The 14,943-nt window shown below is 43.1% G+C and overlaps 1 long non-coding RNA gene across 1 annotated transcript, besides 1 other annotated feature; it reads left to right on the forward strand.

Moving 5' to 3' along the window:
* Positions 1 to 250: 250 nt before the first annotated feature.
* LINC01900 (long intergenic non-protein coding RNA 1900) lies at positions 251 to 14,134 on the forward strand. The gene is made up of 3 exons (XR_001753529.2): positions 251 to 316; positions 13,420 to 13,586; positions 13,967 to 14,134. It is a non-coding gene; the product is annotated as a long intergenic non-protein coding RNA 1900 (long non-coding RNA).
* Positions 10,318 to 11,190: an enhancer, noted in NCBI's record as "NANOG-H3K27ac-H3K4me1 hESC enhancer chr18:19571122-19571994 (GRCh37/hg19 assembly coordinates)". NCBI's record gives its function as "activates a minimal SCP1, AML or CMV promoter by ChIP-STARR-seq in naive H9 embryonic stem cells {active_cell/tissue: H9 hESC(naive)}" and the evidence as "EXISTENCE:reporter gene assay evidence [ECO:0000049][PMID:30033119]".
* Positions 14,135 to 14,943: the final 809 nt, after the last annotated feature.

A 14,943-nucleotide genomic window follows, 5' to 3' on the forward strand; every position in this document is an offset into this window, starting at 1 on the left:
ACATGCACTTAAGCTGTGACTGACAGTTTGCTGGGGGCGGACTTAGAGTCTAGGGCCAAAGCTTTTGGGTGCAGAGCCTCCAAGGTTCCAAGATAAACAAATCTGTCGGTGAGAGTGACCAGAGTGTTAGGTCAGTCCAAGGGTCACTTATAGGTCATCCTGCTGGGAGCTTGGTCTCTGCTTTGTGTTTATGCTGGGGAGAAAAGCAGGAGGGGCCAGAGGGTTGGGTCTCCGCTGGGAAAACATCCCTGGCCTACTCATCAGAGCCTCTGGAAGTGGATTGGTATCCCCTCTGCTCCCAGGAATCCAGTAAAAGGTATGGGTGCAGGCTTGTATTTTTTACAGGAGTTGATGAACAAGTTATTTTGGAAATATAGATTGCAAGATGTGTGGGGCCAGCTCACCTGGGCTGCAGAATGAAGCAAGGGTCTTCCAAGGCCTAGAGTGAGGTAATAGATCACTGTGGGGAGCTGGCTGCAGTAAGCATTGGAAAAGACAATTGAAGAAATGGAAAACTTTCCCTGTCCCTCTCCCTCTTCTGGATGTTACAGATTTTCCTGGAAAATATTTTGCCAGGTTTACATTCCTTACCAGCTAGGGGCTTTTTTAGAGAGTGATCTTAATCTTGCTTTTTTCTTGTGCTTGGCTCTCTAAGATTGATAGAGAGGGGAAAGCAGGGGTATGTTTTATAGCTTCCTTAGTTGACTTTTAGCAAAGTGAAGATTGTCCTCCCCCGTGGACCCTTGGCTTAGCCATCTCCCAATTCTCTCTCATTTGAGGACAGTGTGGAGCAGAAAAAAGATGCAACATCAAAAGAAGAGCTGGGCCGGGCGCGGTGTCTCACGCCTGTAATCGCAGCACTATGGGAGGCCGAGGTGGGCGGATCACAAGGCCAAGAGATTGAGACCATCCTGGCCAACATGGTGAAACCCCGTCTCTATTGAAAATACAAAAATTAGCTGGGCGTGGTGGTGCGCACCTATAGTCCCAGCTACTTGGGAGGTTGAGGCAGGAGAATTGCTTGAACCTGGGAGGTGGAGGTTGCAGTGAGCCGAGATCATGCCACTGCACTCCAGCCTGGGCAACAGAGTGAGACTCCGTTTGAAAAAAAAAAAAAAAAGAGCTGATGGCATTTAAAATTTCATTATTGCAGATGAAAAAGACTTTTTAATCTAAAACTCAGTTGCTTGCTATGGAAAATAGCCCAATTTAATAAAAGGTCTAAAGGAGCTAATGTCTTCAGATAAGCCAGAAGCTGGAAGTACTCGCAAACAAGCCCTTGGGGATACTGGTAGGCCACATTAAAATAAACCCAATTTACAAAATATATAATACATTAAAGATGCATTTAAAGATATGTGTAAAGATGCATTAATGGGCCGGGTGCAGTGGCTCATGCCTGTAATCCCAGCACTTCGGGAGGCCGAGGCAGGCGGATCACAAGGTCAGGAGATTGAGACCATCCTGGCTAACACAGTGAAACCCTGTCTCTACTAAAAATCCAAAAAATTAGCCAGGCATGGTGGCACGTGCTGTAGTCCCAGCTACTTGGGAGGCTGAGGCAGGAGAATCGCTTGAACCAGGGAGGCGGACGTTGCAGTGAGCCAAGATCACGCCACTGCACTACAGCCTGGACAACAGAGTGAGACTCTGTCTCAAAAAAAAAAAAAGATGCATTAATGATATATGTAAAGATACATATAAAGATATGATTAAAAGAATTGAAATTATACTGAGGGCGTGGTGGCATGCACCTGTAGTCCCAGCTACTTGGGAGGATCGCTTGAGGCCACAGTAATGTGAGGCTGTAGTACGCTATGATCACACCTGTGAATAGCCACTACACTCCTGTCTGGGCAATACAGCAAGATCTGATTTCTAAAAAAAATTAAATTAAATTAAAAGAAAGAAAGTCGAAATCATACTGAGTGTTTATGACCACAATGGAATCAAACTAGGAATCAATACCAGAAAGGTTAACAGGAGAATCTCCAAACACTTGGAAACTAAACATAAAGAGGAAAGTCTTTTTTTGGAAGTGTCAAGGGAAATTAAAAAACATATTGAACTGAGTGAAAATGAAAATAAAATATACCAAGATTTGTGGGATACAGCTAAGGCAGTGCTGAGAGGAAAATTTATAGCATTAAAGGCTTACACTAGCCAGGCACAGTTTCTCACGCCTGTAATCCCAGCACTTTGGGAGGCCAAGGCGGGCGGATCACGAGGTCAGGAGATCGAGACCATCCTGGCTAACACGGTGAAACCCTGTCTCTACTAAAAATACAAAAAAAGTAGCCGGGCAGGGTGGCGGGTGCCTGTTGTCCCAGTTGCTGGGGAGGCTGTGGCAAGAGAATGGCGTGAACCCAGGAGGCGGAGCTCACAGTGAGCCGAGATTGTGCCACTGCACTCCAGCCTGGGTGACATAGCAAGACTCTGTATCAAAAAAAAAAAAGCTTACACTAGAAAAGAGGGAAAAAACCTATGCCAATCAGAGGGAAGGAAGCAATAAAGATAAAAGTAGATATCAGTGAAATTGAAAACAGAAAAACAATTAAGAAAATCAATGAAGCAATGGTTGGTTTTTAAAAAGATCAATAAAATTGACAAACCTCTAGAAGGAGAGACAAAGCAAGGAAGAGAAAAGACACAAATTACAACTATCAGAAGTGAAATAGGGGCTTTCACTACGTGTCTTGAAAACATCAAAAAGACAATAAGGGAATACTGCAAACAACTCTGCATCCATAAATTTAGATCTGAGATGACTTAGATAAAATGTACTGATTCCTCAAAAAACACAGACTACAGGCCGGGTGCGGTGGCTCACACCTGTAATCCCAGCACTTTGGGAGGCCGAGGCGGGCAGATGACGAGGTCAAGAGATTGAGACCATCCTGGCCAACATGGTGAAACCCCATCGCTACTAAAAATACAGAAATTAGCTGGGCATGGTGGTGCGTGCCTGTAGTCCCAGCTACTCGGGAGGCTGAGGCAGGAGAATCGCTTGAATCCAGGAGGCAGAGGTTGAAGTTAGCCAAGATCACACCACTGCACTCCAGCCTGGAGACAGAGCGAGACTCCATCTCAGAATGCACACACACACACACACACACACACACACACACAACCTCAACTCATCTAAGTTGGAATAGATAATTTCACTAGCTCTATAGTTATTAAGGACATTCACACACACACACACACACACACACACACACACATACACACAAATCTTTAGACCTAAATAGTTTTGCCAGAGCATTCTATCAAATGTTTAAACAAGAATTAGGCTGGGTGTGCTGGCTCACACCTATAATCCCAGCACTTTGGGAGGCCAAGGTGGGAGGATCACTTGAGCCCAGGAGTTCAAGAGCAGCCTGGGCAACATAAGGAGACCCCCATCTCTAAAAAAAGGAAGAAAATTAGCCAGATGTGGTGACACACACCTGTGGTCTCAGCTACTCGGGAGGCTGAGGTGGGAGGATTACTTGAGCCTGTGAGGTCGAGGCTGCAATGAGCCACGATTGTGCCACTGCACTCCAGTCTGGGCAACAGAGTGAGACCCTGTCACACACACACAAATTAAAAAAAGAAAGAAAAAAGAAGTAACACCAATTCTACACAATATTTTTTCCAGAAAATAGAAGAGGGAACACTTCGTGATACATTTGATGAAGCTAGTATAATCTTGATAACAAAACCAAAAAAAGAATGACAAAAAAAGAAAACTACATAACAATATCGTTTGGGAATACAAATTCAAAAATCCTTTTTTTTTTTTTTTTTGAGAAAGGGTCTTGCTCTGTCATCCAGGCTGGAGTGCAGTGGCACTATCATGGCTCACTGCAGCCTCAATCTCCCAGGCTCAAGTAACCCTCCCACCTCAGCATCCCTAGTTGCTGGGACTGCAGGTGCATGCCATCACACTGGGCTAATTTTTGTATTGTTTGTGGAGACGGGGTTTCGCCATGTTGCTCAGGCTGGTCTCAAACTCCTGGATGCAAGTGATCCTCCTGCCTTGGCCTCACAAAGTGCTGGGATTACAGGCAGGAGCCACTGCACCTGGCCTCAAAAATTGTTGATAAAATAATAGCAAATAGAATTCAGCAATATATGAAAATAATTAAACACCAAGACCAAGTAGTATTTATTGTAGGATGCAAGACTGGTTCAAACTTTGTAAAATGAACCAATCAATGTAATCCACCATATTAATAGGCTATAGAAGAAAAATAACTTTATATTAACCCATTTATCATTAAATGCATTTGACAAATTCTGTACCTATTCCTGATAAAAAAATCTTTCAGAAAAATAGGAAGAGATGAGAAATTCCTCAATTTGATAAAGAACATCTATAAAATATCCACCACTAACATTATACTTGACAATCAAAGACTAACACTGGGGAGAAGGTAAGGATGTGTGCTGTCACTACTCACATTCAACATAGTTCTGGAAGTGCTACTCAGTGCAACAGGGCAGGTGAAGGAAATAAAAGACATACAGGTTAAAAAGAAAAAATGGAAACTGTCTTTATTTGCAGGTAACATAATTGTCTACATAGAAAATCCCAAAGAATTAAAAAACAAAAACAAAACAAAAACCTCTAGAACTAAAACAAATTAGTTCAGCAAAGTCATGGGATACAGGATAGACACATGAAAATCAATTGTATTTTTATATACTAGCAATGGAAACGACAACAACAAAATACTACACCATTTATAATCGCTCAAAAAAAGAAATAGGCTGGATGCGGTGGCTCACGCCTGTAATCCCAGCACTTAGGGAGGCCAAGACGGGCGGATCACAAGGTCAGGAGTTCGAGACCAGCCTGGCCAACATAGTGAAACCTCCATCTCGATTAAAAATACAAAAATTAGCTGGGCGTGGTGGCGTGCGCCTGTAGTCCCAGCTACTCAGGGGCCTGAGGCAGGAGAATCACTTGAACCCAGGAGGTGAAGGTTGCAGTGAGCCGAGATCGTGTCACTGCACTTCAGCCTGGGCAACAGAGCGAGACTCTGGCTGAAAAAAAAAAAAAAGAGAGAAAAATATTTAGGAAGTCTGAAAAAACATATATAGGATTTGTATATTGACAGCTACAAAATGCTAATGAGGGAAATTAGACAAGATCTAAACAAATGGAGAGAAATACCACACTCATGGACTGGAAGATTCATTTATAGTAAATGTCAATTTTCCCCAAATTGAAGTACAGTTTTTTTTTTGTTTGTTTTTTGTTTTTTTTTTTTGAGATGGAGTCTTGCTTTGTCACACAGGCTGGAGTGCAGTGGCGTGATCTCGGCTCACTGCAACCTCCACCTCCCGGGTTCAAGTGATTCTCCTGCCTCAGTCTCCCAAGTAGCTGGGACTACAGACCCGCGCTACCGCGCCTGGTTAATTTTTTGTATTTTTAGTAGAGACGGAGTTTCATTGTGTTAGCCAGGATGGTCTCGATCTCCTGACCTCATGATCTGCCTGCCTTGGCCTCCCAAAGTGCTGGGATTACAGGCGTGAGCCACCGCACCTGGCCTGAAGTACAGCTTTAATGTAATTCCTGTCAAAATTCCAGCAGGATTTTGATTATTTTAAAACTTATATGGAAAGACAAAGGACCTAGGATAGTTAAAACAATTTTGTAAAAGAATAAAGTGGGAAGAATCAACCTACCTGATTTTAATTTTATTTATTTTTTATTTTTAAAAAATAAGCCAGACATAGTGGCTTATGCCAGTAATCCCAACACTTTGGGAGGCTGAGTCTGGTGGATCCCTTGAGGTCAGGAGTTCGAGACCAGGCTGGCCAACATGGTGAAACCCCGTCTCTACTAAAAATACAAAAATTAGTCAGGCATGGTGGCGTGCATCTATAATCCCAGCTACTAGGAAGGCTGAGGTAGGAGAATCACTTGAACCCCGGAGATGGAGGTTGCAGTGAGCCGAGATTGTGCCACTACACTCCAGCCTGGGCAACAGAGCAAGACTCTGTCTCAAAAAATAAAAAGTAAAAATAAAAAGAGAAAAAAATAGAGATGAGGTCTTGCTATATTTCCTAGGCTGGTTTTGAACTCCTGGGCTCAAGTGATCCTCTTGCCTCAGCCTCCCAAAGTGCTAGGATCACATGTGTGAGCCACTGTGCTGGGATCAACTTACCTGATCTTAGGACTTAATATACATAGTAATCAACATTGTGTAGTATTGGCAGAGACATACGTACATAAATCAGTGGTACAGAGAACCCAGAAATAGACTCACACAAATATACAAAACTAATTTTTAACAAATGTACAAAAGCAATTCAGTGAAAGATAGCCTTTTATAAACAGTGCTGGAGCAATTGGACATCCATAGGCAAAAAACAAAACAAAAGAAAACAAAAAGAACCTCAAGTCTCACACCTTATATAAAAATCAAAATTATAGGAAAAAATAAAAAGTTGTAGAAAAAAATTTTAAAATTAAAAATAAAAAAATTATTTTTTTTTAATTCTAAAAAATATACCCAACTACTTTAAAAAATTAGTTGGGTATTTTTTTTAACTTGATAAACTGTACTTCATTAGAATTGAAAACTTTTACTCTATAAAAGACCACGTGAAAAGGATGAAAACACAAGCTAGAAGCTGGGACAGAATATTTGCAAACCACATATCTGGCAAAGGACTAGTATCTCGAATATATAAAGAACCCTCAAAACTCTACAATAAAACCATCAAACAATCCAATTGAAAAATGGACAATCAGAAGAGACATTTCTCTAAAGAAGGCATACAGATGGCAAATAAACACATGAAAGGATGTTCAACACCATTAGCCATTATGAAAATACAAATTAAAACCAAAATGAGATATCACCACACACCTATCAGAATGTTTAAACAAAACGTTTTGATAACACTATTTCTGCAGGTGAAGATGTGCTGAAGACCAGCATGCTTTGCTGATGGGAATGTAAAATGCTTCAGCATCTCTGTAAAGCAGTTTGTCAGTTTCTTCGATAACTAAGTATGCAATTATGATGTGACTCAACAATTACACTCCTGGGCACTTATCCCAGGGAAATGAAAATTTATGTTCACAAAAAAACTTGTACATGGATATTTGTAGCACCTTTATTCCTAATAGCAAAACTGAAACAACCCAGATGTCCTTCAACAGGTTACTGGTTAAACAGACTGCGGTTCATCAATACCATGAAATACCACTCAGCAATAAGAAGAAACAGAGGGTGGAGACACACAACAACTTGGATGGATCTCAAGGGTATTGGGGAAAAAAGCGAATCTCAAAATGATTCCATTCATATGATATTCTTGAAATGAAAAAATTACGGAAACAAACGACAGATTAGTATTGCCAAACATTAAGGAAGTAGTAGGGGTGGAAGGGAAGGGCAGTATGAGTTATCCTCGTAGTGATGGAACCATTCTATTCTATGTCTTCTCTGTAATGCTGTCAATATCCCTGTTGAAATACTGTGCTGTAGTTTTGCAGGATGTTATCAGTGGGAGATATACCATTTTGATTCTTGTAAAATATAGATGGAAAGGAAAAGGAACTAGAATAGCTAAAACAATCTTGAAAGAGAATAAAGTGGGAAGAATCAGTACCCAAAAAACTGGCTAGAGAGTACCCAGGATCTCTTAGCATTATTTCTTACAACTGCATGTGAGTTTACACTTATATCAAAGGTTTAATTAAAAATATTTCTCAGCCGGGTGCGGTGGCTCACGCCTGTAATCCCAGCACTCTGGGAGGCTGAGGTGGGCGGATCACTTGAGGTCAGGAGTTCGAGACCAGACTGACCAACATGGTGAAACCCTGTCTCTACTAAAAATACAAAATTAGCTGGGTGTGGTGGTGCATGCCTGTAATCCTAGCTACTCGGGGGTCTGAGGCAGAATAATTGCTTGAAGCCGGGAGGCAGAGGTTGCGGTGAGCCGAGAACGCACCATTGCACTCCAGCCTGGGCAACAAGAGCGAAACTCTATCTCAAAAAAAAAAAAATTTTTTTTTCAGATATATCAGGAATTGTAGTCAAATACCTTTAAATTATGAGCTTGTATATATTTTAGGTAGTTGCTCAAATTAATATTTAACACATCTGTTTTATTTACATACACATCTGTTTGTTTCCACATCTGTTTTATTTATCCAGTATTCTGGAATGAGCTACAGTATAAAGTAACCTACACTTTTTTGTTTTTTGAGACGGAGTTTCACTCTTGTTGTCCAGGCTGGAGTGCAATGGCGCAATCTCGGCTCACCGCAACCTCCGCCTCCCGGGTTCAAGCGATTCTCCTGCCTCAGCCTCCCGAGTAACTGGGATTATAGGCATGCGCCACCATGCCCAGCTAATGTTTTGTATTTTTAGTAGAGACGGATTTTCTCCATGTTGGTCAGGCTGGTTTCAAACTCCTGACCTCAGGTGATCCACCTGCCTTGGCCTCCCAAAGTGCTGGGATTACAGGCGTGAGCCATCGCACCTAGCCAACCTACACTTTTACTCTCACCGAAACTCCATGTGTGTCTGTCCCATTTGTTCTGTCATAAAACTTCTCATCCACTCCCTCAATCAGTGATTTATTCATTCAAACATGTTTGGTGTGCAAAGGATGAGTGAGGCTCAGTGCCATCTTGGTGTCGCACCATTAAGCCAGACCTTTCTATCCATGTTTGTGGCTCCCAGATATTGTAGAAGTGACACGCTGAAGTCTGATTTAGATTCTTTTGTGAAAACCACTTTTGGAGTGTCAGTTTTTGGGCTTTTGAAAAGCCTTCTTCAGAATTTGCAATCCAAAGAAGGTACAAAAGGCTTTCTGGTTTCTCCCAAGATGTCGCTCATTAGATCAATGGACTTTTCAAATAACATGGAAAGTGAACAAGCCCTTTCTTTTCTTCTTTAGGGTTTTGTAGACCAAATACATTAGTTAATTTTAAAAATAAGAATAAAAGTGTAAAGAACGGATAGATGGAAATTTTGTTTTTCTCTCAATTCTCCTATCAGACCCTGGGCAGAAATGGGTCTGCAACATTTGATCCCAAGAATTCTTAACCAGAAGTCCCTGGATAAGTCTGGGCACTGGCTGAAATGGCATGCCATATTTTGGGACATTCTTCTGGAGAGGGAATCCACAGCTTTCAAGGATTCCCTTGAAAGGGTCTGTAACCCAGAAAATATAAGAATACCTGTTTTAATGGCTGAAGGCTCCAGAGACGTAGAAAGAACTAGAAATATGTGGGAAGAGCCTATCCATGGCCTGATGAGGGAGCTGGCTTTCATCTTCACCCTTCCTACCGGTTCAAGGGCTGACTCAAACACCTCTTCCCTGTGAAGCTTTCTCTGATCAGCTCACCTCCTCTCAGCCAGAAGCCGTCTCTTCTCTGAGCTTCCAGAGTCTTTGCTTGCTCTTCTTTTAAGACACTTACCCGTCAGATGTAGTGACTCATGCCTGTAATCCCAGCACTTTGGGAGGCCAAAGTGGGAGGATCACTTGAGGCCAGGAGTTCGAGACCAGCCTGGACAACATAGGGAGACCCTGTCTCTACAAAATAAATAAATACATAAATAAATAAGACGCCACTTTCTATCACATGTGAAACTAGATATTGCCTCTATTCGCTGCCCCTGTACCATTATGGATTTGTTCTAAGTGGATGATCTAGACATATTTGTTGGGCGAGTGATGGTCCTTACAAGTTTGGTGGCAGCCCTTCAGAATTGGCCTGGAGATAAGAATGGTTGGTTCTTTTGCTTTTCAACAAAAAATGTAAGGCATTGGGCATTGACTGGCATTTTACATGATGTGAAATGCCCAGTGGGGAAGGTAGTCAGTCCTTCTGCAGGGACTGAATGCCTGCTCAGTGAGAAACTGTAAGCAACCTTTGCATCTTCTTTTTTTTTTTTCTTTTTTTTTGAGATGGAGTCTCGCTCTGTTGCCCAGGCTGGAATGCAGTGGCCTGGTCTCAGCTCACTGCAAGCTCCGCCTCCTGGGTTCACATTATTCTCCTGCCTCAGCCTCCCGAGTAGCTGGAACTACAGGCACCCACCACCATGCCTTGCATCTTCTAAATCCAGCTCAGCTGTGGCATTGTAAATAGCACTCTGCCTTGTCCCAGCTGTCTTATTTGTGAAATACTTAGAAAAACTCCACCAATCTCCTGACTTCACCTTTCCTTTAGGGTAAATCTATTATTTTAAGGGAGGGTGGGAGTGGAGAGAGGGACTCAAGTATTCCTTGTTCCAGTGGAATTTGTCCCAACCTCCCACAGCATTGCCTCCAGCCCATCTTGCATTCTTGGCTTTTGAAGAGGAGGGGCAACCCCCTTCTTATCTGGGATTGCCTGCTTAAACAAACTCAGTGGTGTGGAGGTATTGTCCTTTGGAAACTTGGCCTGGGACACTTTACCAAGTGTCTGCAAACATTTAGACATGGAAAACTACCCACTGTTAACCCAGAGCTCATTGTCTCTGCTCAGGGCTGCTCTTCTCTGAAAGTGGCTTGTGGTTGGGGGTGGAGGTGGTGAGAGTCGGCCCAAGGGAATCCCTCAGTTGGGGCTCTGGGCTGGGGAATTGTGCTGCTGTTTGTTTAAACAACCTGAGTGTAATTGGATTGTTTGAGATGCCCAAGATGTTTGGGAAAGTGGGGGAAGGGAGGCAGCTTGCTGGGGGAGAGAGTCACCAGCAGGGACTTTGATGGGTGGCAGGCTGGGTGGTTGTCAGCCTCCAGATTGCAAAGCCAGTGGGAAGGATGGCCCTTCCGGCTTGTCCGTGGGCACATCAGGACCTGGGTCAATAGGTCGGACCATGTAGTCTATAAAATATTAAAGCTAGTACTTGAGGGGTGGATCAGGATATGAGGAATATTTAACTTAAAATCAATTATCCCTTTTTAACCATAACAATCTAAGGATAGCACAAATGCACGGTTACATGTTTGCTTGTTATTTAGATCTGATTTTTTAAAATCCCACAAAAATAGTTGTAATGACCAACTCAGGTTTCACTAGTAAGAATGCTGGGTAGGAATTCTTAAGGAGTTGCTACATCATTCCTTGGGACAGAACAGGGGCTATCGGGGAGTATTTGACAGGCCTATGGAAAAAATAAGTCTGTGCTTTATTGTAGGGATCATACCCTTCCATTTGACCTAGGGAAAAGGGCAAAGAGTGTTAAAAAAATGAGAAGAATCTGGGAATAATAGAAGGAATCTTTGCAATGCTGGGCCTGGCCAGCACCGCCCTGTGAGATCAGACCTCACGTGAACCATGTTCTCACGTCACCTGAGGCATGCAGGTAGACTCCACAAACCAGGTGTGAATACTTATTAGGGATGCTTACCATGTAAGAAATAATTAGAAAAGGTAAAGGGCTCCTATTACGTGGCGGGCTCCCAAATTTGTAATTTTACTTAATCACTGCTGGAACCTGTGACAGAAGTTAGAAAAACAGACTGTGGCTCAGAGGGGTGAAATGAACTTGCCCAGACCACAAAGAGGGAAATGGTTCAATCTGGATTTGCATTAAGATCCTTCTGTTTTCAAAACTCTCTTTCCAATACACTATACTCATACTTCTCCCTACCCTGCAAAAAAAGAATGAAAATGCAGAATTAATCACCATGCAGGTTCAAAAACAAATAACCCTCTTTTGATATGCCAGTAGCATATCACACATAGAGGCCTTCAGCTAAATAAACAATCAATTAGGGAAAGGATAGAAATGTTAATATTGGTAAAACCTACTGATCTTCTGATTGGGAATACATTTTAGATTATTTGAGGATGGAATGCTTGTCATCTTCATTTTAAGATGGCTATCAGTTTTTGAGGTTAGCCCTTAGTTAAAATAAAGTCGTAGTCAAGTATCTTGTAACATTTAGTGGAACAATACCTGACAGGGTACATTTACCCTTTCACCTTTTTTTTTTTTTTTGAGACAGAGTTTCACTCTGTGGCCCAGGCTGGAGTACAGTGGCATGATCTGGGCTCACCGCAACCTCCACCTCCTGGGCTCAAGTGATTCTCCCAGCTCAGCCTCCCAAGTAGCTGGGAGGCACAAGCCACCACACCTAGATAATTTTTGTGGGTTTTTTTTTTCTTTGTAGAGACAGGGTTTCACCATGTTGCCCAGGCTGGTCTCAAACTCCTGGACTCAAGGGATCCATCTGCCTCAGCCTCCCAAAGTGCTGGGATTACAGGTGTGAGCCACTGTGCCTGGCCTAACCTTTCACTCTTAACATGGTTATCTCTGTAAAAGAAAAATAGCTTTGTAAAGGCGTTGTCTTTTTTTGCTTTTTTTTTTTTTTTTTTTTGAGACAGAGTCTTCCTTTGTCACCCAGGCTGGAGTGCAGTGGTGCACTAATAGCTCACTGCAGCCTGAAACTCCTGGGCTCAAGCAATCCTCCTGCCTCAGCCTCCTGAGTAGCTGGGACTACAGGTGTATGCCACCATGCCCAGCTCAAATTTTTCAACATTTATTTTTAATTTATTTGTTTTCACTGTGTTACCCAGGCTCATCTTGAACTCCTGGCCTCAGGCAATCCTCCCACTTCAGCCTCCCAAGGTGGGATCGTAGCTGTGAATCACCATGCCCAGCCAGCTTTGTAAAATTTAAAAGATTCATAACAGTATTTTGACAAATACTTCAGAATATTGTTTTCAGAGAAAAGGGCTTTCTATACTTGCCGAGCAGCTCAGTTTTGCACCGGCTCCAAGCAGCAGCTACTTCTGTTGCTTGGCTGGTGGGTGTCATTTCATGGGCATAGAGAACCACTGTGCAAACAGTGGTGTAACAGACAGCACAGAACAATCGCTGTTTCTATGCCATTTGGCAACTCCATTCTCCTAGACTCTGAGGGCTTCTTAAGGTAGGAGCCAAGGGGCTTTTCAAAATCACACCATGACCACACTGGTTTCGTGGGAGCTGATAGCTTCTTCTAGCACTCCAGGTCTTTGACACCAGAAGGCTGCCTGGCTCCAAATACTTAAAAATTGACGATGTTGGCTGGGCGCGGTGGCTCATGCTTGTAATCCCAGCACTTTGGGAGCCGAGGCGGGTGGATCACAAGGTCAGGAGTTAGAGAACAGCCTGGTCAACACAGTGAAACCCTGTCTTTACTAAAAATACAAAAATTAGCCAGGCATAGTGGCAGATGCCTGTAATCCCAGCTACTGGGGAGGCTGAGGAAGGAGAATTGCTTGAACCTGGGAGGCAGAGGTTGCAGTGAGCCGAGATCGTGCCATTGCACCCCAGCCTAGGCGACAGAGCTAGACTCCGTCTTGGGGAAAAAAAGAAAAAAAATTGAAGCTGTCAGCTAAGTAAAGGGAGTATTTACAATATGGAGGAATGGAAGTGCAGCGAGGCTGGTGGTGCAGCACTGGAGGGTCAGACAGTGTCTTTTTATCCTTTGCAGTTTGCAGAGGATGCAGCAGGTGAGTCCTGTAGACATCAGAGGGGCTTCGACGCTGCACAGCTGCCACTCAGAGGGGACACTGCTGGCCTCGATCACATCATGGAGACCACAAGGATGCTGGGAATGCACTTCCCATTGGCCGAGCTGAGGATATGAGCAGGCCATGGGTGAGCCAGGGTTTCCATTTCTCTTCCCGCCATGAGAATTTCATGCCAGTCAATTTTAACATAATAATTTATTTTGCATTTTGCTGTCCTCACTAAGGTATGCATGGATCGTTAAAGATTAGGAAGTTTGTTCTTTGATTGGATTCTTTGATCAGATGGATAAGATCCTTCCATCTCTTTAAGAATGCCACCTCCTCCTCCAGCCCCAATCCTGGCTTCCCAAATTCCAAGCTCCCAACACTTGAAAGGCCCAAACCTTGTTAGGTTTGATGATAGCAATTTACAATTAACAAATACATTGATAATGAGTGTTCTTTTCTGTAGGTTTGTTTAAAAGTGAAAACAATGTGGCTAGTCATAAAAGTTTCTCTTTGTTTTAGGCTGGATGGCTCACGCGTTCAGAGGAGGGACAGCGCTTGTTGCAGAGAATGAGATTTAGTGTGATGTGTATAAAGGTGTTTCATGGCTAAAGACCAAACAGAGACTAGTGTCTCCCACTCAGGAAGAATAATCACCATGCTAATGGATTAAAATTCTGTTACATAGAATAATCACAGGTTTAAATAAGACTCTGCCTGCTTTATAATTATCAGTATGTGAAAATACACTGAATCAAGGCTGAGTGTAGTGGCTCATGCCTGTAATCCCAGCACTTTGGGAGGCTGAGGCGGGAGGATCACTTGAGGGCAGGAGTTCAAGACCAGCCTGGCCAATCTGGTGAAACCCCGTCTCTACTAAAAATACAAAAATTAACTGGGTGTGGTGGGAGGCACCTCTAATCCCAGCTACTGGGGAGGCTGAGGCAGGAGAATCGCTTGAGCCCGGGAGGTGGAGGTTGCAGTGAGCCGAGATTGTGCCACTGCACTGCAGCCTGGGTGACAGAGTGAGTCTCTGTCTCAAAAAAAAGGAAAAAAAATATATATATACGAATCAAGATGACTCTTAGATATTTGGCTAGAGCCACGGGGTTGATGGGTAGATGGTGATGTTAGTTCTCAAGGAAAGGACCTGCGACAAGTTTATTTGTCACATTTATTTCCTGTTTCAATTATTTCCAAAATGATCAAGACAGGAAATAGGGAGAACAGGTTGGGTGTGTACATATGTGTATTGAATCCAGTGCTTAAACTCACATGCTCTGAAGTCAGAGGTCATGCGTCCAAATCCCAGTTTCACCACTTACTACTTGGGTGATCTTGGGCAAGTGGGTTTATCTCTCTGTGTTTTCGGATCCTAATATAGAAAATAGGTATAAGCCGGGAGCAGTGGCTCACGCCTATAATCCCAGTACTTTGGGAGGCCAAGGCGGGCAGATCACTTGAGCTCAGGAATTTGAGACCAGCCTGGCCAACAGGGT

The sequence above is a fragment of the Homo sapiens genome, chromosome 18, assembly GCF_000001405.40.
Source record: "Homo sapiens chromosome 18, GRCh38.p14 Primary Assembly".
NCBI classification, from domain to species: Eukaryota; Metazoa; Chordata; class Mammalia; order Primates; family Hominidae; genus Homo; species Homo sapiens.